Below are 24,212 nucleotides of genomic sequence, written 5' to 3'. Positions count from 1 at the left end.
TTGTAGATTACGGGATATCCACATACCTGTCAGTGATCTGCTTTGAGATCTTAGAGAAGCCTCATACAATCTCTTTGTGTCCCATTGCTACAAAATGATCATACTGAATTTCTGCAGCTTCACATTGTATTGTTATGCAAAGATTCCAAATATCCTTCCAATTGGAGATAATGTGTCAGCCCTGATCCTCTTACAGTGGAAATAAAATACAAGGCAAAGCGAAATGGGATTCCCAGGCTGCAGACCTCAGCTTAATGTGAATAAACCTCCGGCCAAACAGGAACTTTCAGTTTTCAGAGTGTATTTAATTGAGAGCTATGGTTTATTTTGTTGCTTGAGCTAAATTGGGATCTGTACAAATAAAGAATATGAAAAACCATAGCTGCAGTCTTAGGAGAGCTCTAGTAAGAAAAGAGAGAAATTGTGTTTATAAAACCACAGGGTTGAGCTATTCTTCCTTTTTTTTTGGATTATTCTTCCATTTCTTGGTCTTTTTTGGCCAGAGTGCCAGGGCCAGTGATATTTTGGAGCCATCTGTATGGAGCCAGGAGGCCAGAAGCACACCCTGTCCTCCCTCCTTCCTTGGGATTGTTTTGAGCTCCAAATCAATGTACAAAATTTGTCCAGAGCCATAAGAAAGGCAACTGTTCATCCTTCCTCCTTAGCATGACAGTTGTAGCTGCCCTTTCTTCCCCTTGGTCTCTTGTCAGAACCAGGGAGCTTAAAGTGTAATGCCATTTCAATTTGTGCTTCTGAAGCTTGAACCAGGCTGTGCTGTTTAGGTGAAAGGCTTAAACACCTGAGAATAATCTTAGGTATTAAGTAAAAATAGCTCCCAGCATTTTATGCTTAAAATGGCAACTCTGTGTGTCCAAGGACTGTAGTCTTCTATATTTTCTAGCAAATAGAATTGCTGGGATGCTTGAATCTCAGAATTGGAAGTGATTTGGAGGTTAGCTCGTCTGAATTTGTAGAAGAAAAATGTCAATTGCAGAAAATTTTTCCCCTAGCTAATTTTGTAAACTAGCATTACTTCTCCCCAGCTTTTAGACTCAAAGAAACAAAATCCACAACAAGGAGGTCTCCCTTGTTTGCTCTTTTTCTTTGCTCAAAAATCTCAGTACTATGATAGATGTAGGTAGTGAGGGAAACCTGCCTTCAATCCAGGATGCCTAAATGTCGGGGAAATCTGCTGAACCCATCATGGCCCTGTCATAATAGATTTTTTATGCTCATCAGTTTTTCTGCAGTAGTCAGCCTCGAAGACCAATCGGGATTCCAGAAGATGAGGCTGAATCGTGACAGTCTACCTATAGAGGAGGGAGAGCTCTTTGATATTAATGTGCTGTGGCCCCTGCTCTCCACAGAACCTACTGACAGCCATTCCCAGCAGGGCTCAGGGCTGTTTGGAGGCTGCACACTTTTGTTCTGTAAACAGGGAAGAGGCATGAGCAAACTGCTTACCCGATTCTGAATCCAGCCTCCTTCTCAGGTCATACACCCTACTCAGTCTGTGACCTAATTACCCCTTCATATCTGAGGAGTAGCAGCAAAAGCCTTCCAGGAAGCCAAGGTGAGACAGGAAGAGGAAGCTGACAGGTTGTGGCCAGTTGATCCAGCCCTCTTCTCATTCCTCCTTGCCTCCTTGCTCTTTTCTCTGTCACCAGTGCATCTGAAGACAGTGCAGTGAGAAACTGCTGAGCCAGACATCTTTAAAACATGCCCTTTGTAAGTCATCACCATCTGTAGTCACAGTGAAGGGAGGACATCAAGCAGAAGTGGCTGCCTGCTCTCAGAGCCCAGTCCCCGGAGACTGCAGGCAACGGAGGAAAGATGCTCTCCTGCGTGTCAGCAAGGGCAGGCAAATGGCTGTTGCATTTGTTGAGATGTGGGGCTGATCCCAGCAGCTGTTCAGGCCCTCAGAGTGCTGTTTAGAATGTGCTGGAACTTCCAATCAAGCTGTTCTCTGCTGTGGTTGCTGGTTTTTTAAAAAGCTGGCTGCCTGCTTACCTCATATTTCTATGGCTTTTTAACAATTATGAGGACCCGGCCTGGCGCGGTGGCTCATGCCTGTAATTCCAGCACTTTGGGAGGCCGAGGTGGGTGGACCACCTGAGGTCAGGAATTCGAGACCAGCCTGGCCAACATGGTGAAACCCTGTCTCTACTAAAGCTATGAAAAATTACCCAGGCGTGGTGGTGGGCGCCTGTAATCCCACCTACTTAGGAGGCTGAGGCAGGAGAATCCCCTGAACTGGGGAGGCAGAGGTTGCAGTGAGCAGAGATCGTGCCATTGCACTCCAGCCTGGGCAACAAGAGCAAAACTCCTTCTCAACAACAACAACAACAACCAATTATGAGGACCTTTCAAACACATGCTACATTTCATTCTCGTGGTAGCTCATGTGAGGTATGAACTAGTTAACACATATATGTTCATATATATTGAACATATATATGTTATATGTATGAACATATATATGTTACAACATACATATGTAAACTAGTTCATATATAATGTAGTCTATATATATGTATATAATGTAGTCTTTCTCTATATATAAACTCAGAAAGGATAAATGACATGCCCCAAAGCAAACTCAATAAGTGGCAGAAAGCTCCACTATCCCATGATGTGGCCTCACCTTCCTGTTGAGCCTGATCATTCACAAAGTTCACTGTCCTGGTCACCTTTCTGAAGCATATATCAGTGGTTCTCAAACTTGAGTGTGCATCAGAATCCCCTGGCATGCTTGTTAAAGCATAGATTGCTGGAGTCACCTCCAGACTTTCTAAGGTCTGGGGTGGGCCTGAGAATTTTTATTTCTATCAAAATGCCCTGATACTGATGTTGGTCCATCAGCCACAATTTGAGAATCACTGGTATCTAGAAAATCACCTTTTTGTATTATAAAACCATTGTTAGTTTGCTGATTTTGGAAAACATTTCCATGTATATTAAGCAGTTTAATGTCAATGTAGGCCAGGCAAAGTCATGGGGTATTTAATTTAGAAAACACCTGTGGAGCTTCCATTGCTAAGATCAGTCTTGACCCTTTGCCTGGTATTTTCTTTATGCGGAGTAACTTCCAGCAGGCATCATTCCCTTCAGCAGCCATTTGATTGTCATAGTTTCGGTTCCTCCAGAGGTGGACTTTGAGACAAGGATTCTAGTGCAACAGCTGTTTGGAAAGTTTTGAAGATATTGATAGAACACAAGGCCTTTTCACCCCTGGAGCAAAGCCTGCTTCCTTATTTGTTAGCATATGTGCATAAATTAACTTGCGGAGATATTTGTGAATAAACTCATAAAAGCATACATGAACACACAAATATTTTATCTTATTCTTTTGGCCTCATAAATAGTTGAAAATCCTATACATTATTTTGCAGCTTAGGAAAGGAACGGAATGCACCCCAACTCCCATGAAAAAAAATGTAACATACTTCTTTGGACTTGAAGGTGTGGAGAGCCAAAGGAGTGCAGTGTGGGCAGGTGAAGTAGTGTAGGACACATGGGGTAGATTTATGGGGAACAGAAAAGACTCATGGTCTAGAACAAATACTCAGGGACAAAATGAATAACCCTACTGCAACCTTTAGACTAGAAAAGAGGCCCTTTGGCTTGAGGGACAGAAAGAGAGCTGGAGAAATGATAAGAACACTGATATTGAGAACCCCAGGACCCTTCTACTGGGTTCAGTCCTGGGAAAGTGGCTGAACTGCAGAGAAGAAACGGCAGTGGGTCAGGGACTTTAGCTGCAGGATGGTTCTTGCGTGCCTAGAAAGGCAGGGAAGCAGTGGAGATAGGCCCTGAGTCTGAAGAACACGATGACAGGGTCTGTCTCAATGACCCACGGCCAACTCACATGAACCAAAAATCTAGGGCTGGACAGGGTGGCAGACAGCTTACATGGATAGATGACTTTGAGGACCTGGGTTTCTGCTCCTGTTGCTGCTTTGGCACTACATAAGTCTCTTGGAAATAATGCCATCTTAAGCTGCAACTGAGTCATTCATACAAAAGGTAAAGAAAGTTATATTCACTTGACAGTTGAGTTTGTGGCTAGAGATTGAAGCTTGAGATGCAGGTAAGTTATGCTATGAAGTTTGAGGGCCACATAGAAGTGTGCCTTGGTCCATTGGTGACCCACAGGAGATAGTGACGGGTTCTCAGAGAAGGTCACCTTCCTGGAGGGGTTAGGCTTGAGTTAGGGTATAATAGATAAATATATATTCAATATATCTTATAGATAAACTTGTTAATGACATTTCCATTTTTAAACATGATTTTGCCAAATGCAGTTTTGCCAATTACAATATTTTCCGGGACCATAAGCCAGTGCCTAGTGAAAAATTACTAGAGATTCATTTCATATGTAACACCATTCCTCTCTTTCTAACAATTTTATGCATCATTGAGGCCAAGATCAAGTTCTTTTTCTCTAAAACTTAGCTGGCAGGCCAAGCCCATGCTATTCTTTTTCTCCCCCTTGTCTGTTTGGAAAGATTGTCAGTTCTGCACATTTTAACACTTTCGATCATGCATTATGTAGTCTTGTTCTCTCATCAATTCATTTGAGTTATCCTTGTCTTCCTGGATGGATTGTACCTCTGTGGAGGTTTCACTGAGTAGACATTCTCAAAGGTCAGGAACAGTCAAGGTTCCACTTAAAAGAAAAAAAAAATGTTTCTCTAATTCTTACTAAGATCTTGTGTGTATTGAAGCTGCTCTAAGTGCTATGCAGCTATTATTGTAGCCCCGTATAGTAGGTGCTATTATCATCCCTGTTTTACAGATGAACTCACTTAGATTGAGTCAAGAACCCACTGAAGACAATCATCAGAGCTGAGAAAATTAACTAAGAAAAAGATGCACGTGGCTGTAATTAGAAGAAAAACAGTTTGCCTGCTCTCATTTGGCTGAGCATTTTAAAAAACCTTTTCAATAAGTAAGTATTGAATGTTAACATGAGAACCTCTGCGTAGGTTGGCGATCATTTCTTCTATATAGGTTATGCTGAAGTTAATGGTCTAGTAACCATTTGATGGCTGGACCTTGCCATTCTCAATAGATCACTTTGCACAAGACCCCAGCAGGTGGTGCTATAACTGGCAAGCGGCTTCAGGCATGCCCCATTGCTCTCAGAGTGAATTTTCCCACGTCCTTGGGAGCCTGGGGTGGTGGGGTGGGGGTGGGGTGTTCCTTGCAGAGAAGGCTCTTACTCCTGTCTGTGTAAGTGCATGTTACCTACACAGGCCCTCCTCTGGCCCATCTCTGTGCTGCTGTGTTTGAATTGCTTCCCATTCATCCCACGGGGGAACAATCCTAGGGTTATAGGGATAGTCAAACACATGACAAACAGCCCAGCACTGGACAGATGAGGTTGAGACTAGTTTATTTATCACACACACTCATGGCCTGGGGAGAAAGACACTGTGCCACACAGGGCCACAACGGAGTTGAACTTGGGAACAGAGGCTGTGGGAGGCAGGCTCTGTGGTATCAAGAGGATAGGGGGACTCCTGCTTCCCACAGGGGAAGTGGTTAGTTTGTCTGAAATGTTTTATGGGCTGGGAGGGAACTAAGACTACCCACGCAGGGATAAGGAGGAGCTGCACCTGGTCCATTTGGTGATAAGGGTCTTTTGGCAAGGGATTCTTTTTTTTTGTTGTTTGTTTTTTGTTTTTTTGTTTTCTGAGATGGAATCTTGCTCTGTTGCCCAGGCTGGAGTACAGTGGTGTGATCTTGACTCACTGCAAACTCCGCCTCACAGGTTCAAGTGATTCTCCTGCCTCAGCCCCCTGAGTAGCTGGGATTATAGGTGCACACCACCACGCTTGGCTAATTTTTGTATTTTTAGTAGGAGACGGGGTTTTGCCATGTTGGCCAGGCTGGTCTCGAACTCCTGACCTCGTGATTGCCTGTCTCGGCCTCCCAAAGTGCTGGGATTACAGGCGTAAGCCACTGTGCCCGGCCAAGGGATTCTTATCCATGGTGTGAAGGAAGAGGAGAACTTGTGGTTAGGACATTCCAGGCCCTCCCAGTTTTGCCATGTATCAAGGCAGCAATTAATATTGAATCTTATTGTTAGGCCTTAAACCCCATGCTGTTGTGTGGCCCCACATGAACGTTCTTGCTTTATGTCTATATTTTTGCTCTAATTTTTTTTTTTTTGGTAGAGATGGGGACTTGCTATGTTGCTCAGGCTGGCCTTGAATTCATGGCATCAAGGGATCCTCCTGCTTTGGCCACCTAAAGTGCTGGGATTTTTAGGTGTGAGCCACCATGCCTGGCCTAAATTTTTTTTTTTTTTGAGTTGGGGTCTTCCTGTGTTTCCCAGACTGGTCTCAAACTCATGGGCTCAAGCAATCCTCGTACTTCAGTCCCCCAAGTAGCTGAGATAACAGGTGTAGGCCACTATGTGTGGCTATTATTATTATTATTATTATTTTTTTTTTTTGAGACGGAGTCTTGCTCTGTCACCCAGGCTGGAGTGCAATGGCGTGATCTCGGCTCACTGCAACCTCTGCTTCCTGGGTCCAGGCGATTCTCCTGCCTCAGCCTCCCGAGTAGCTGGGATTACAGGCACCTGCGTCATGCCCGGGTAATTTTTGTATTTCTGTAGAGAGGGGGTTTCACCATGTTGGCCAGGCTGGTCTTGAACTCCTGACCTCAGGTGATCTGCCTGCCTTGGCCTCCCAAAGTGTTGGGATTACAGGCATGAGCCACCACGTTGGGCCTATTTTTATTATTTTTTTAAGGGATAGGGTTTGCCGTGTTGCTCAGGCTGGCATGCAGTGGCTATTCACAGGCACGATTACAGCACGCTATAGCCTCAGACTCCTGGGCTCAAGCCATCCTTCTGCTTCAGCCCTCTGAGCTCTTCAGCTAAGAACATAGATTTCTGGCTCTTCCGATTCTTGCCTGAGACTTACTTTAGAATAGTTTTTCGGTTTCTTTCAAATTGAAAGAAGAGATCACTGGCACTTGGGAGGGGAAAAACTGGAGGATGTGTTCATTATTCAGTCCTCAAACCTCCCCAGGATTCATGTTGTATTTCTGAAACTAGACCACTAGGAAGCTCCAGACCTGCTTTGATCAGATGACCCTGAATAGTTAGGGTTCTTTCAGTTCCATGGAAAAGGAATCGACAAGATCTTCTTTAAGCATAAAAGGGGAGATTTGTTAAAAGCACACAGATTGGTCTAGGAGGGCACAGGACAGAGAGACGGCCAGCCCTCAGGAATGAATGGGAACTAGAAGCAGAGTTGCCCACAGTGTTTGCAGACCTTGTCCACCTTCCTCACCCCTGAAGGCCACCTCATTCCTCTTTCTTTGTGGTCAGGCCTTGTCTGCCACCAGGTCACATGGTAGAAACCGTGGTAAGCCCTCAACATAGCACTTGGATTTTCATTTCCTCTTTTCAATGGATTGGACCAGACTGAATGTTCTCAGTTCCAAATTGAAATTTCCTGAAGAAAGATGTCCGACTTGCTTATCTTGAGTCACTCCTGGACCAATGATCTGGAACCAGGGTGTATTAATCAGGGTTCTCCAGAGAAACAGAACCAATAGATATGATTATGGGGGCTGAGAAGTCCCATGATCTACTGTTTGCAAGCTGGGCACACAGAAAAGCTGGTGGTGTAATTTTAGTCTGAGTCTGAAGGCCTGAGAACCAGGAGCATTGATGGTGTGAAGTTCAGTCCAGAAGCAGAGGAAACCAATGTTCCAGCTCAACCAGTCAGGCAGAGAGAGAGAGAATTCCTTCTTTCCTTCCTTCCTCCCTCCCTCCCTTCTTTCTTTCCTTCCTTCCTTCTTTCCTTCCTTCCATTCCTTCCTCCTTCTTCCCTCCCTTTCTCTCTCTCTCTTCCTTCCTTCCTCCTTCTTCCCTCCCTTTCTCTCTCTCTTCCTTCCTTCCTTCCTCTTTCTTCCCTCCTTTTCTTCCCTCCTTTTCTTTCTTTCTTCCTTCCTTTCTTTTTCTTTCTTTCTTTCTTTTCTTTCTTTCTTTCTTTTCTTTCTTTCTTTCTTTCTTTCTTTCTTTCTTTCTTTCTTTCTGTCTTTCTGTCTTTCTCTCTCTCTTTCTCTCTTCTTTCCTTTTCTCTCTCTCTCTCTCTCTCCTTTCTGTTCTATTCAGGTCTTTAATTGGTTGGAAAGGCTCATCCTTTCCAACTAGGGAGGGCCATCTACTTTACTCAGTCTACCAATTCAAATGCTAATCTTATCCAGAAACACCCTCACAGACAGACACATTCAAAAATTATGTTTAACCAGCAGTTTTGTGGACACCCGATGATCCAGTTAAGTTGACAAATAAATTAACCATCACACAGGTAGTCTGGATCACCATAGACAAAATAAAGTCAGGAGCCTTGGCTATGTCCATGTGAATTGGGTGGGTGGTAGAGGGGGAGGTTTTATAGGAAGAGCTAGGTTGTCATGGCATTGGTGGCATGGTCTCCAATGCCATATATTGCATGGCGCTTCTCTAAAATAATAACATTTCGATTGAAGATATCATTCATTATGTTATTCCACAATCTGCACGGAGTGAGGTACATATGGGTTTGAATTTTGTCTTGCAACTATCTTGAATTAGGCAAGTTACTTAACCTCTATCAACTTCAGCTTCTCATTAATGAAATGGGGATAATATGTAGGATTGTCGTAGGAATTAAATAACATACTATTTGGAAAGTACTTGCACTTAGAATAGAAGACACTCAATGGACAGTAACTATTATCATCATTCATCACTAATTTAATGCTAATTATTATTATTTCATGCAGCATGTTCTCAGACCAACATTGACAAAGGCCATTCAAATAAATTGATACTTTCCTTTTGACTGATGGTGACAACAAGATTGCAAGCCAATAGGTGCTCCAACAGGCATGACCCTCATCTCTGAAAAACATAAAATACACAATTATGTTTTCATGCTAATGAGGACTGAGAAGTAGTAATCTTTAATTTTTTCTTTTTTTGTGTGGTGACATCTATTAACCTCCATCTAGCATTCTGTGGTGGGAAGATCCCACAGTGACACTTCAATCTGTGAGTTAGATGTGAACCTGTGGGCAAACTGAAGCTTGTCACTTCCGTCAAATACATATAACTGAGAGAGAAGTACCAATTTAAGTTTGGGTATGCTTTCAGCTTTTTACATACAAAAAAATTCTTTAAGGAGGATGTAGAGCTAGAACAAAGAAAAAAATTATGTTGCAATTTGGGGTTCAGTACTGTATTGAAAGAGAACACGAGAAGAAAAGGGGAGTATTTTATAATTTATTAAGATATAGTTCTCAGCATCCTATTTCTCTTTAACCTAAAGTTTCCCATGAGGAAACACACCCATGGAATGCGTATTTTTGCTTATTTCAAAGCCTAGAGAAAGTCTGCTTTTCCTAAACCATCACATGTATGTCTTTAGCCAGCCTGTTGGGAAGCTATCCATTTTTACTTAGTGGCAGTTTTCCTTAACTACCATTGTTGTCTTCTATCTTAAGTCAAGGTCTTATTATACTTCTTTTAAGCTTATTTGTTTTAAATTCATTATCTCTCTCCCTCTCTCTATACATGTAACACATATTATATATATTATAGCATAATATCCTTCAGGTTCATCGCTGTTGTCACAAAGGGCAGGGTTTTCTTCTCTTTAAAGGCTGAATAGTATTCCATTGTGTATGCATACCACATATATACCACATTTTCTTCATTCATTCATCTGTTGCTGGACACTTACATTGATTCCACATCTTGGCTTTTATGTATAATGGTGCAATGAACATTGGAATGCTGATATGTCTCTGAGTATCTGGGGTTCTCAGACCTTTTCTAAGGCTGTGTCCAACTCCACTCCTCTTGCCCCCTCCTAGCGGGTAAGTCTTAGAATTTGATCCTCCAAAGCCAGGCCAGGTGCTGAGAGCCTCCTGTTTATTTTCCCTAGGGCAGTGTCCTGAAGAGTTCAGTGTTGTGCAGCATCTCCCATAGCAGCAGAGTCAAGCTGGCTTCTACACTCCTCCCCTGCTATTGAGATCCTCATGCTATCTGTGGGAGCTTGTGCACTCCATGCACAGGGATGTGCCATCCATGGTGGGAGCATGTCAGGTTTTGGGAGTGCACATTGGCTGGTGGGGGAGCTCTGTAAGCAGTTTATTCTGCAGGGTTTGTGGGCAAGACTCCTTCCGGAGTCAGTAAGCTGGTCAGCAGGATCCTTGGCTGGTTGTTGAGAACTGCAAGCCAACTGCTGTCTGCTGCCACCCCTGCTCCTAGCTGGCTCCAGATGATTCACCAGTGCTTATCCCTTCATTGTTCTGAGTGAAGCAAGACAGAAGTGGTCCTTCTGGACTGTGTCCCATAAAACTGGGGAGTCCTGCATTCCTTTTACTTTGACTTTTCCTCATGAGAGAGAGCACAGGCCCAGGGGACCTATCTCAGCATAGGTCTATGCTGCCTTGGGGAAAGGGTAAAGTAGATAAAGAGAGACTGTTTTTCTTACCCTCTTTAATTCATCCACTCTAGGAATTTTTTTTCTCCACCAGGTGCTAGAACCTCTCAGTTAGACTCTAGGGCTCCTGCCCTTTTGGGTTATCTATGGATGATTACCAAAATGGGTGTTTCTTGGTGGAGGGGATGAGAGCTGGCATCTCCTATTCTGCCATCTTGTTGGACTCGTTTTTGCTGAGTTGGACTTTTGGGCTGTGTTTGGGAACTGATGACATGGGTTGTTGATGAGATTGAATGTAGGGGAACAGGGGAGAGGTAAAGTAGGTGGGAAAAACTTGAGCAAAAACTTGAGCAAAGAAAAGAAATATCTCATAGGGATTTAAAAATTGTGCTTTTTCTTTAGTGTGTGATTCAATATTTCCTCAGTCTCCCCAAGAAATCTTTGGTAAAATTCAACACTAAGTACTAATGCACGTGGAGGTGGATGTGCTCCTGGGCCAGGGACAAAGCCCTGATTATTGCCTCAGGAGTGAAGGCTGGGTTCTCTGTGGGAGGCTCACTACCTCTGGATGACCTCAGGAGTCAAGGTCCATCTTTCTCCAGGCAGTCCCCTCGGGTAGCCCTAGAGAGAGAGAGATGATGATCCTCTTCTGAGTTTTGAAAGCACTGAACTCATCAGAAGGCAGTGCTCTAAGCCTGTGGTCTGAAATGATGAATTCATGTATCTGGCTCACCCACTAGACTACAAGTTACTTGAGGGCAGGATCTGGGCTTTCTTGCTCCTGTATCCCCAGTTTTGACCAGTGATAGGCCTGGAAGAGGTGCCTGGTAAATGGTTGAAATTATCTGTCTGGTCCAGTTCTACAAATAGCATCTTCAGTATATTTGCTATTAGTATTGGCGTAATATATTAACATAATCCTGATGTAGAACATTTAAGGGAACCATACTAGGCAGCTCTGAGATCTTCCTGGCCAAGCTATCTAGGGCCATAATGCTATTGGCTAAGACTTTCCATAGTTTGACATTTTGCTTATGGGTCTAATAACAATGTTCACCTCTTTTTGTGGGAGCTGGAAAGCTATATTTTTCTTGGCTGCTGACCTGCTTATCCCATTTGGGAACTTGGGATCCAATTAGGCCTGAGGATGTGCAGACGAAGGAGTGAGGTTATAACCAGGTCAGCCTTTCTCTTGAAATAGTCATGGAAAAAAACTCCTAAGCAAAAAAGCTGTGAAAAAGGTTTTAAGACACAATAGGAATAAGCTAAGGAGAGAAATGAATCTTTAGCTATAAGTAGAGGGGTAAAAAGGGCAAAACCGGGTGTTTGTTCAGTAGAATGATACTTGTCACCCGATTGAGAGAGGTAGGGCTTAAGGGTGTGTGTGTGTGTGTGTGTGTATGTGTGGCCACTGACTTGGCCTTTCTGGCCTTCTTCTCAGTAAAATCGGGATAAAACTTTTTTTAGGGTGAGATTTCCGAGGGTGCTATAGTTGGTTTTTGCTCAAGCATACAAGATAGCTTCTTACTTGGCTGATTTGAGGATTCCCTGATGCTGTAATTTCTCTATCACTGTTCAGTACATAAAATGACCGTAGGAGGGTGAAAGTGTAGTGCAGTAGTTAGAATCCCGGGCTTTGGAATCAGACAGAGAGATTCGTGATGTGATATTTGGGTAGACAGTTGCCTTCTACTTAAAGAGCAAAATTCTTCTTAATTAACTTATATCACATTAGACATTTATGTCAAGTGGGCACTTCATGGAGTTTGAATCAGGACAAATATTAATAATAGGTCTATCTTCCAGGCTCACGTCTCAGTTCTGTGACCTTGGGTAAGTTACTTAGCCTCTGTGAAACCTGGTGATATGGCTTGGACGTTTGTCCCCTCCAAATCTCATGTTGAAAGGTGATACCCAATGTTGGAGATGGGGCCTGGTGGGAGGTGTTTGGGTTACTGAGGTGGACCCCTCATGAACGGCTTGGTGTTCTCCCCATGGTAATGAGTGGGTTCTCGCTCTGTGAGTTCATGTGAGAGCTGGTTGTTTAAAAGACCCTGGCATCTCTCTTGCTTCCACTCTCACCATGTGATACACAGGCTCCCATTTTGCCTTCTGCCATGATTGTAAGTTTCCTGAGGCCTCACCAGAAGCAGATGTCAGTGCTATGCTTTCTGTACTGCCTGCAGAATCATGAGCCACTTAAATCTCTTTTCTTCATAGATTATCCATTCTCAGGTATTCCTTTATGGCAACTCAAATGAACTAACACACCCTATTTCCCAACCTGTAAAATGGGAGACATGGTTCCCTTTGTAGGGTTATTGTGGGATCAACTGAACAAAGGTGTGAAGCATAGAAAGTCCTGAGTAAGAAGCGGTGATGATGGTGGTGGAGGGGGGTGATGGCCATTGTGACAGAGGCAGATGTTTGCTACCCATTCTCTTTATTTTGTCTATTCCCTTAGGAAAACAGTTCCAGTGTAAGAGAGGGTGACAGTGTGCTCAGTGTAGACAACACTTTCCAGGCTCCCTTGTAGCTAGGTGTGAGCATGTGAATATTTCTGACCATAATGTGAGTTGAAGTTGATGGGTAGAAAATTTAGAAAGGCTTCTTAAAGGAGGAGAGCCCATTTGTCCTTCCCTGATTTCTTCTCCCTGTTGCCTGGCATTCTGAGGTGAAGGCAAGTGCTCCAGCAGGCCATTTGGACCAGGAGATGACTTTGTGAATGAGCCACACTCTGAGAGTGACAGAACAGGAAGATAAAAAAAGGCTGGGCCTATCATCCATATTGGAGCACTTTTACCAGAGCTTTAAGTTAAGTCACAGTTTTTTCTTTTCTTCATTTTATGGGTAGCCAAACTTTGTTCTAATTGGCAGTGATAATGAGGATGATTTCTTTTTGGCTTTCAAGAGACTTGTATTAATTTAGGGGGATTTTCCAAGGATTGCCTCTTGGTTTGTTGATTTCCAACTGGGTAGTCAGCTAGAGAAAGGTTCTGAGGGAACTAGATGTAAGGCAAATCCTTGGGAGGGCAGAAGGGGATGTTGGGATGAAGAATGTGGATCAGAAAAGGGAGTTTGGGAAAACAGATTGCCAGCCCTGTACTTACCAGTTGTGTCACCCTGGGCAAGGCCAATATCACCCTCCCCAAGGGCTGCAGCAGGAATTAAATGAGAACATATTACATGACCTGGCTCATAGGAATTACTTTAAAACCTTTATTTCCTTCTAGTGATTTACTAATATAGTCCTGGAAAGGACCTGTTCCTTGGGCATCAAAAAATATATATCCCTGTTTTGCCTAGATATGCAGTTTGACAAGCAGAGGGACTGCTGTTTCTTCGTGGGAATTGCTTACTCACCTCGCACTCTGACCTCTCTTCCTGTTTGTGGCTCCTGACAGGCCTGGACCTGCCTGAGCTTGCCAGGTTCTGTGGGAGGTGGGAAGAGAGGGGTGGATACCAGGCTTCAACTTTCATTCCAGTGCACCCTGGCGTGCCTCAGCCCATCACAGAGCGGATGGCTTTTCTATTCCCTTGGGATGTTATGCTAAACACAATTACATACAGCATTTGACAACAGAGCTGGTAATTTATGTGCTGCTGGAATGGAGAAGGAGGAGGGTAATTGGGATGAATATCAATGTAATCTGAGAAGACACTGAATTTTCTCATCCCTTTCAGGAATCAGTGGCTGGCTATGGAAGGGAGAATGTTAATTGGTCACTTGGTGGATTGATTTAAAACCCGTCTGCCTTTAGCGGGGATGCATTATCCATTATTCCTCTCAGGATGGTCTGGTTTGGGGGAGGTGGTGTGTTTGCTGGGGGAGTGGGCAGAAATCAGTATCAGATTGTCAACTTGCAAATATTTGGTGAAATTGCTGACCTACTACTTGTGAGATCTCGAGACTTATTACACCTCTATGAATCTCGACTTTGTTATTAGTAAATGAGAGGTAATAACACTGTCTCACGACGCTCTTCTGAGGGTTACATCAGATAAATTATACAGAGCCTCCTGCCAAAAGGTGCTCCCAGTGGTAGGTGGTCAAAATTCATTTGCTTCCTCCCGTATAGTTGAAGGACACACTTCATTCCTATCAGCCTTTGTGAAAATGTATCTTCTGACAGTTTCAATGGTGACAGAAGGGGTTCCTTCCACTATATGATTAAAGAAGGCTGCTGCACTGTTTGGCTTCACCACAAGTGAGCTTCATTTTGGAGAACAGGTGTGAGTGTGTGAGTGTGTTTGTGTGTGTGAATTCAGACATCTTACAGTTCCTGTTTTTTTCTCACCAGTAATTTAAAAATAACATTGCATGCCATTATTTCTTCAGTGCAGTCTCTTCTTTTTCTTCCTGAGAGTGATACTATGAGATCCAGGTCATCTTCCCACAGTTCCCAAGCAGGGTCTTTCCCTCCTTGGATTACCTTCAAGGCAGTCTGAAAAAAAAAAAAATCCAAATCTCAGCTCTTAGAAGAGTAAGAAATAGGAATCTCAGGTTTTTCTTTTTTCTTCTCCCCCACCGTACGATATCTCCAGGCTTCATAGAGACAGATCTGGGCTCTGGGCTGTTGTTTCTGTTTGGGTTCCATGAATGGCCTTTCTTTATGGGTGGCAGATAAACACCAGCCCAGAAAAGAAATTCATCTTTGGAGAAAATCCCTCAAATAGGACCTTCCCTTACTTTCTCTCTCTCTCTCTCTCTCTTTTCTTTTTAGATGGAGTTTCATTCTTGTCACCCAGGCTGAAGTGCAGTGGCGTGATCTTGGCTCACTGCAACTTCCGCCTCCTGGATTCAAGCGATTCTCCTGCCTTAGCCTCCTCAGTAGCTGGGATTACAGATGCCCACCACCATGCCTGGCTAATTTTTGTGTTTTTAGTAGAGACAGAGTTTCACCATGTTGGCCAGGCTGGTCTCGAACTTCTGACATCAGGTGATCCACCTGCCTCGGCCTCCCAAAGTGCTGGGATTACAGGCATGAGCCACCACACCCAGCCTTTGTTTCTTATCTGATTCTCAGGCCATGGAGCCTGTCACTGCTTTGTGGGCTTGGGTTTGGGTTTACCCTTTGCTCTCCTATCTCTCCTTAGTCTTCTTTAGCTCTTCACTTTGCTTTCCAGCTGATTTCTTCCTGCAGCCTGAGGTTTAGGTATTGTCAGCTCTGTCTTGGTGAAACAACAGTTGTCCTCTGACCTCCAAGAGGGGTGAGGAATTTGGGCTGATCCAGCCCTGCTGAAGGCTCAGAAGACCCTTATTCCATGGAGTGATTGAAGATGTCTTGTCTAAACCTCCAGCCCCGGGCCCAGCCTTCAGGAGGCAGAGGCTGCGGATGGGAAGTGATGGTCTGGCTCACTTTTTCTTTTGAGACATAGGCCATTTAGGATGTAGTCTTTTAACCTGGGCAAAGTCAATGCTCACTTATGTTTCTTTTCATGGCTGCTTTGCTACAGTAACCGCATAGTGGGTGCTTAGTTTGTTTGTGGCAAAAAAGTAGAATTGAAATCTCTATGCTCAAGTCCAGTGGCTCCAATCTGTGCTTTATTATTGGAAATGGAGCCTCCTCCTGCTCTGGGGTTCCTGAGTTAAAGCCAAGGCACTTGCACCAGCGGCACTGCTGGCTGGCTGGGATTGCTCAAATTTGTTCTGGCTCACCTGGTGTGGCTCTTAGGTTCCTGTCCATGTTAATGATGTTCTATACAGTCCCTGGAGTCAGGTGTTTGCCTACTTGTCTGAATGGGTGATGTCCTCTGGCAAACCCATCAAGGGAGCTTTCTTCATTGCTCTACCTCACAGTTGATCTCTTTGCTCCAGACTTTGTGCCTTTTGGCTCCCATTCTTCCCAGTTCCTCCTCATCTCACTTCTGTCATTTTTCCAGGCTTAGCCTGGATACTGTTCCATAGTGCCCTGTCAGGGTTTCTCCACATGGCAATAGGACTCAAGAAGCCTTGTGGGTTTGGGGCTTCAGTGCCTCCCCTTGCCTGCCTCGTCATCCTCGCTTTATAGAATGTTTAATTTCTATAAAGTGTATGGGAGTTCTTGGTGAAGGCTGGGTGAATAGATCTGTCCTGAATGTAGGAGAATCTTTAGGAAATTATAGGAGTTTTCCAAAGACAGAGTTGGAGATTACATAATTGCAACCTGCATCTCTTATGCTATGCTGCATTTACTTCAGTCAACCATGATCTAATCAATCAACCGGCTCACCAATCAATTAGATAACAGAGATTTATTGAGTTTCTGCTGTGTGCTCAGCCATGTGTTTAGGTCCCTGAGGAACACAGAATAAGGAAAAAGCATGGGATGTGCTTCGAACCATTTACAATCCAGTTCAGGAGAAACAGTGAGCTTTCGTGTCTCTACAGTAAACCCCACCAGGCAGTTGCTAACTGACTGCTGCATTGTGTGTGTGTATGGAGAGAGATGGGGGACAGGCACACCTGCCATGGAGAGGTAGTGTGGTGACGTGAAGCCAGCCTGGGTTTCAGAATGGGAGGAACCAAGTTTGAGTCCCAGTTCCCCCTCTTATAGTTGTAGGGCTTTGAATCCCGAATCACTAGCAGAAAACATTTATTGAGGACTTTCTGTGCACATCACCCAGCTGCAAGTGGGATTGCAGTGGAAGGCAAGCAGGTCAGCCACCTTCAAGATACAGTCTTAACAGAGATGATGAGACAAGACAGCAGATGACAACATCCTCCTTCTGTGTTGGCCCCAGAATGGATGAAGGGGAGCCTATGACTGTGAATGTATGTCCCCCAAGACTGATACAGAGAAGGGATTTATGGCACTTTGGTGTGGGGTTTGAATGAAAGACTATCCCATTTATGGAGCTCCTGCCATATTTCAGGAAGCAAGCAAATGACTGCATGTGAGCTCCTACTCCATGTTAGCTTCTGAAAATCCATCACCTGGATAATATTCTTCACAATCCGGTGTGGTTATGCATTTTTTTTAGATCAGAAAATTGAGGTTCAAAGAAAGAAAATAAATTGCCCAACATCAAATCTAATAAATTGGTGAAGTTGGGATTCCAACTCACACTGCTCAGACACCATCACTAATTTTGCATGGTTTACCTTGTCTTCACATCATTTCCCCATTTGCAGATTAGGCCATCAAGACACAGCGAGGTTAAGATTTTAAATGATCCTATTCAGAGCTGGGATCCAAACTTGATCTGTCTGATTCTAAAGCCTGAGACTGTGATAAACATAGACATATGTGTGCAGGCATACAGTGTAATAAAAGAAGGCCTGAGGCCGTTCCTGTACACAAGCTTGAGAAGTTGTGGGGAGAATTAGAATGTGAAAGAAATGGTTGCCATGGATGAGAAATCCAGCCTAGCAGTTTAAATGGAAGGGACCTCCCATTATACAAAACAGCCCTAAATTAGTTTAAACTAGTGCTTCTAAAATCTGCCTACCAATCACCAGGGGATCCTGTACAGATGCAGATTGTGACCCAGTAGGTCTGGGGTAGAGTCTGAGGTTCTGTATTTCTATTTTTCTCTCTCTCTTTCATATGTATATATGTATATATCTCATAAACATATATCATATATATATCTGAGAGAGAGAGAGAGAGAGAGACAGACAGACAGACAGAGTCTTGCTCTGTTGCCCAGGGTGGAAGATCTTGGCTCACTGCAACCTCCGCCCCCTGGGTTCAAGCAATTCTCGTGCCTCAGCCTCCCGAGTAGCTGAAACTACAGGCACCTGCCACCAGGCCAAGCTAATGTTTGTATTTATTGTAGAGATGGTGTTTCACCACGTTGCCCAGGCTGGTCTCAAACTCCTGGCCTTAAGTGATCCACCTGCCTCAGCCTCCCAAAGTGCTGGGGTTATAGGTGTGAGCCACCGCGCCTGGCCAGAGGTTCTGTATTTCTAACAAGCTGCTGGTCCATGAACCACACTTTGAGTTGCAAGCGTCTAAACTAGGTTTCTCACCCTGGACTCTATTGACATTTTGGGCCAGATAATTCTTTCTTATGTGGTTGTTTAGCAGCATTCCTGGCCTTTTCCCACTAGATGTCAGCAGCACCACCCCCCATTTGTGATGACCAAAAATGTCTCCTGACATTGCAAAATGTCCTTTAAGGGGTACAGCCTTTGCCAGGAAAGAACCACGTGTCTAAACCAGTGGTTCCCAAAGCTTGTCTGTACATTGGAATCATCTGGGAAGCTTAGAAACTCCTGGCGCTTGTGTCCTGCCTAACAGATTGCAGTTTACTTAACCTGAAATATGGCTGGGTCAATTTCAAATGTTTACATGCCTTCCCAGGTGATTCTAATGTGCAGACAAATTTGGCAACCCCTGGTCTAAGTTCAAACTCTGGACCAATCAGCTTATTCTCTTTTTGCTTCCAAGAAGCTGCCACACCTAATACTCAGAACTGCCCCTGGCTGATCAGGCACCTGGGATAGGAAGAAAGGTTTCCAGGCTTCACTCATCACACAGAAAACCCAGCTCAGAGTTGGCTTAAATCCCCCAGTAAGGAAGAGCAGAAAGAAATCACACAGATCTGGGATGGAGGTAGCCCTCATCCATCATGCTGTCTGGGGCTGCTTTGCATACAGGAACACTATTTGTTTTAATCTTCAAGAATCCCATTTTGAGCTGGTGATCTCCCATAGGTTTTATAAAGGCCTGTGCCATGTTTTGGCTCCCTTCCCTCCCTTTCCCAGACTCTTGATAGAATCAATCTTTATTCCTCTCATACCTAGAGGCCAGGATAATAGTCTAATGCTTGTCTGAAGTTTGGACTGAGCAGGTGCTTGGAGGTAGAGATTCTTTGCTAGGTAGGATGTCACTCAGTGGACCATCAAAGAATATCTATTTTTAGTTTTCTTCTCAGCTGAGCATGTGCATGTTTATGTGCACTTGTATGTGCTGTAGAAATTGTCTTGCTAAGGTTATTCCCATCTAAAGCCAAGTATATTTTGCTGTCTGCTAAGCCGTGCTGTGAATGTGGACAAAACAAACCCACACTCAGGTTCTCAGTTAGGAATTGCTGATTAAGGACTCAACCCTTGTCATATGAGCTTCTGCTTCTAGGGAAATTAACAGAAGAAGAATAGACTCTTAGGGCCATTATCCCCACTACCTATTGCCTGACATCTACTTCTGCTTTCTCTCCCTTGGTAGTACAAGAGAGAAGAGACTGAATTGTGATAGCTGGAACCATGGATGAGAGAACAGCACACACCCATCAGAAAATGTGCCTGGAGCACCTCCTGGGTGGCAGCCTGTTGCAGCAGCACTCATGAGTCTGGGCACATACATTCTGGGATAGGTGTCCAGGTATATTCTGCTATCAATATTGCTAGAAAGTTACCAAAACACCCTGAGCCTCAATTTCTTTATTGGTAAGTGGAAAGAATAATAACACCTATAGGCTTGTCATAAAGGTTATAGAAGAATAAAATGTAATGTTTACTGAGCACTATTTATTATGGTTAATACTGAGGGTCAACTTGATTGGATTGAAGGATACAAAGTATTGATCCTTGGTATGTCTGTGAGGGTGTTGTCAAAGGCGATTAATATTTGAGTCAGTGGGCTAGGAAAGGCAGACCCACCCTTAATCTGGGTGGGCACAATCTAATCAGCTGCTGGTGCAGCTAGAATATAGGCAGGCAGAAAAGTGTGAAAAGAGAGACTGGCCTAGCCTCCCAGACTACATCTTTCTCCTGTGCTGGATGCTTCCTGCTCTTGAATATCGGACTCCAAGTTCTTCAGTTTTGGAACTCAGACTGGCTCTCCTTGCTCCTCAGCCTGCCGACAGCCTATTGTGGGACCTTGTGATTGTGTGAGTTAATACTTAATAACCCCTCCTTTATCTATCTATATCTATATCTATATCTATATCTATATCTATATCTATATCTATATCTATATCTATATCTATATCTATATATCTATATCCATTACATTAGTTCTGTCCCTCTAGAGAACCCTGACTAATACAGATTTTGGTAACAGGAGTGGTTCTAAAGGAACAGAATATTAAGGATGGAGTTATTTCATTGGTTTTGGGATTTCTGGAGTTGGCTGCTTCAAATGATTACACCCCAAAATGCTAAGGACTCTACTTCTAATAGTATGGAGGACACTGAGAGTTCTTGGAGTGAACTGTGTAGAGAGTTATGCAAAATAAACGCATTTGATGCTCCTGATTTGTCGCTCTTGAGAGGCAAGGAGTTTAGTGACCCTATACATAATACCTTTGACTATATCTGGAGAGTCAAGGAACATAATTAAGCTGGTTGGTTGCTCCTAAGTTCAGTGGACAAAGTGATGAAAAAAATGATAAACTCAGGGATTCTATCTGCTAGCTTCAGAAGCAGATACTGAGCCTCAAATCTGCTGGGATTGCCCTGAGTGAGAGTTTTATCTCCTGTGGAGAAAGAGCTGAAATTGTGGAAAAACAGGCACAAGCTCTTATGTGAATGGCTGACCTGCAACGAAAGATGCATGCACAACCTCACCAGGTGTCTACTGTTAAAGTGAGGGTATTGATTAGAAAAAAATGGGAGCCTGCAACTTGGAATGGGGATATGTGGGAGGACCCTGATGAAGCTGGGGAAACTGAGTTTGTAAACTCTGATGAACCATTTTTGCCAGAAGAAACAGCTTCCCCATCCCCAGTAGTGGCAACATCCCCTCCCCGACCCATGCTGCCATCAGCCTTTCCACCTTTGTCTGAGGAGACAAACCCTGCGCGGTCTGAGGCAACAGTGATGGCCTCCCCTGGGGCAGTTGTCAGGCAAGATAATTTGATTCTCCTCAGGAGCCACCCCAAACACCCCTGTTTGCTTCTAGACCTATAACTAGTCTAAAGTCCTGGCAGACCCCTAGAGGTGAAGTTGAGGGTGTGACCCATGAGGAGGTGTGTTACACTCAAAAAGAACCACTTGAGTTTCCTAATTTATATAAACAGAAATCTGGAGAACAGGCATGGGAATGAATATTAAGGGTGTGGGATAAGGGTGGAAGGAACATAGAGTTGAATCAGGCTGAATTTATTGACTTGGGCCCACTAAGTAGGGACTCTGCATTTATCATTTCAGCTTTGGGAGTTAAACAAGGTTCTAATAGTTTATTTGTTTGGTTAGCTGAAATATGAATTAAAAGATGGCCCACTCTGAGTGAGCTAGAAATGCCTGATCTCCCTTGGTTTAATGTAGAGGAAGGAATCCAAAGGCTTAAGGAGATTGGGATGGTGGAGTGGATTACTCTCTTTAGAGCTACTCATCCCAGCTGGGAGGGTCCAGAAGATATACCCTTGACCAATGCCTCATGAAATAGATTTGTGCATCTTTGAAGAGCCTTGCAGTTGCTCTTCTCTCTATGTCAGATCTAACAGTGGGAACCCCAGTCACTCAACCACAAACTTTAAATACAATGGGAATAATTGGATCCCGAGGTGGCAGGGGTCAAGTGGCAGCACTCAACCGTCAAAGGCAAGGTGGGCGTAGCTACCATAATGAACAGTAGAGGCAAAGCAGCAATCAGAATAGTCTGACTCATGTAGAGCTCTGGTTTTGGCGAATTAATCACAGTGTTCCTAGAAATGAAATTGATAGAAAGCCTACTTCTTATCAATAAATTCCTACTTAATATCTATAAGCAGAAAACTTCTAGGTTGAATGGACAAAAGACTGATTTGAAGTACAAAAACAGAGCATCATGACCCCTCAGTAAATTTCCAGCTTGTTTACAGACCCAGGACCCCTTGAATGAAGGGGAGGCTGGGTCCCCTTAAGGAAGGACCCCACTATATTACCGACAATTTAGGGAGTGAATCTTTCTCCTATCCTTCCCCAAGAAGAATTCCAGCTTTTTACCAGGGTAACTGTGCATTGGGGAAAGGGAAATGATCAGACATTTCAGGGACTACTGACACTGGCCCTGAGCTGACGTTGATTCCAGAGGATCCAAAACATTATTGTGGTCCTCCAGTTAAAGTGGGGGCTTATGGAGGTCAGGTAATTAATGGAATTTTAGCTTAGGTCTAACTTACAGCAAGTCCAGTGGGTCCTGGACTCATCCTGTGGTCATTTCCCCAGTGCCAGAATTAATAATTGGCATAGACATACTTAGCAGCTGGCAGAACCCCCACATTGGCTCCCTGAATGGTAGGGTGAGGGCTACTATGGTGGAAAGGCCAAATGGAAGCTATTAGAGCTGTGTCTACCTAGAAAAATAGTAAATCAAAAACAATATTGCATCCCTGGAGGGACTGCAGAGATTAGTGCCACTATCAAGGACTTGAAAGATGCAGGAGCAGTGATTCTCACCACATCCCCATTCATCTCTCCCATTTGGCCTGTGCAGAAGACAGATGGATCTTGGAAAATGACAGTGGATTATTGCAAGCTTAACCAAGTGGTGACTCCAGTTGTAGCTGCTGTACCAGATGTGGTTTCATTGCTTGAGCAAATTAACACATCTCCTGGTACCTGGTATGCAGCCATTGACTGGCAAATGCCTTTTTCTCCATTCCTGTCCATAAGGCCCACCAGAAGCAATTTGCCTTCAGCTGGCAAGGCCAGCAATGTACTTTTACTTTCCTACCTCAGGGATATATCAACTCTCTGGCTTTGTGTCATAATCTTATTCGGCGAGATCTTGATCGCTTTTTGCTTCCACAAGATATCACACTAGTCCATTACATTGATCACATTATGCGATTGGATTCAGTGAGCAAGAAGTAGCAAACACACTGGACTTATTGGTGAGACATTTGTGTGCCAAAGGAAGGGAAATAAATCCGACTAAAATTCAGGGGCCTTCTACCTTAGTAAAATTTTTAGGGGTCCAGTGGTATGGGGCCTGACAAAATGTTTCTTCTAAGGTGAAGGATAAGTGGCTGCATTTGGCCCCTCCTACAACCAAGAAAGAGGCACAATGCCTAGTGGGCCTATTGGATTTTGGAGGCAACACATTTCTCATTTGGGTATGTTACTCTGGTCCACTTATCAAGTGACCCAAAAGGCTACGAGTTTTGAGTGGGGTCCAGAACAGAAGAATGCTCTGCAACAGGTCCAGGCTGCTGTGCAAGCTTCTCTGCCATTTGGGCCATATGACCCAGCAGATCCAATGGTGCTTGTGGTGTCAGTGGCAGATACGGATGCTGTTTGGAGCCTTTGGCGGGACCCATAGGTGTATCACAGCAGAGGCCACTAGGATTTTGGAGCAAGGCCCTGCCATCTTCTGCAGATAACTACTCTCCTTTTAAGAGACAGCCCTTGGCCTGTTACTGGGCTTTGGTGGAAACTGAACATTTGACTATGGGCCATCAAGTCACCATGCAACCTGAATTGCCTATCATGAACTGGCTGCTTTCTGACCCATCTAGCCGTAAGGTGGTTCATGCCTAGCAGCATTCCATCATCAAATGGAAGCGGTATATACGTGATCGGGCTTGAGCAGGTCCTGAAGGCACAAGTTACATGAGGCAGTGGCTCAAATGCCCATGGCCTCCACTCCTGTTGCCCTGCTTTTTCTCCCCCAGCCTGCACTGACGGCTTCATGGGGAGTTCTCTATGATCAGCTGATAGAGGAAGAGAATACTAGGGACTGGTTCACAGGTGGTTCTGCACCATATGCAGGCACCACCCCAAAGTGGACAGCTGTAGCACTACAGCCCCGTTCTAGGACATCCCTGAAGGACAGCAGTGAAGGGAAATCTTCCCAGTGGGCAGAACTGCGAGCAGTGCACCTGGTTGCGCACTTTGTATGGAAG

The 24,212-nt window shown here is 44.2% G+C and overlaps 1 long non-coding RNA gene across 2 annotated transcripts in view, besides 3 other annotated features; it reads left to right on the top strand.

Moving 5' to 3' along the window:
- Positions 1-24,212, top strand: part of LOC105378399 (uncharacterized) — a 31,892-nt gene that overhangs the window by 5,786 nt on the left and 1,894 nt on the right. Inside the window, exons 2-3 of one of the 2 annotated variants that reach the window (XR_946148.2) lie at positions 4,799-4,951; positions 19,610-19,830. This is a non-coding gene — a long non-coding RNA (uncharacterized LOC105378399). Of the gene's footprint in view, positions 1-4,798; positions 4,952-18,910; positions 18,998-19,609; positions 19,831-24,212 lie in introns of those variants that run through there. The other variant, XR_946149.1, reaches the window with a different exon arrangement.
- Positions 1,583-1,752: an enhancer, noted in NCBI's record as "experimental_17591 CRE fragment used in MPRA reporter constructs". NCBI's record gives its function as "activates a minimal promoter by MPRAs in K562 erythroleukemia cells, with activity observed for both the introgressed and non-introgressed 10:85755785 variant alleles {active_cell/tissue: K562}" and the evidence as "EXISTENCE:reporter gene assay evidence [ECO:0000049][PMID:34662402]".
- Positions 7,457-7,606: an enhancer, noted in NCBI's record as "active region_3673". NCBI's record gives its function as "activates an Ori minimal core promoter by ATAC-STARR-seq in GM12878 lymphoblastoid cells {active_cell/tissue: GM12878}" and the evidence as "EXISTENCE:reporter gene assay evidence [ECO:0000049][PMID:35858748]".
- Positions 13,114-14,313: an enhancer, noted in NCBI's record as "MED14-independent group 3 enhancer chr10:85743139-85744338 (GRCh37/hg19 assembly coordinates)". NCBI's record gives its function as "activates an origin of replication core promoter dependent on BRD2, BRD4, P300/CBP and CDK7 cofactors, and independent of MED14, by STARR-seq in HCT116 cells {active_cell/tissue: HCT116}" and the evidence as "EXISTENCE:reporter gene assay evidence [ECO:0000049][PMID:35650434]".

This window comes from Homo sapiens, chromosome 10 (assembly GCF_000001405.40).
Source record: "Homo sapiens chromosome 10, GRCh38.p14 Primary Assembly".
In the NCBI taxonomy this organism is placed as follows: Eukaryota; Metazoa; Chordata; class Mammalia; order Primates; family Hominidae; genus Homo; species Homo sapiens.
Note: the sequence above shows the minus strand (reverse complement) of the source record. Positions and strands in the feature narration are given on the sequence as shown.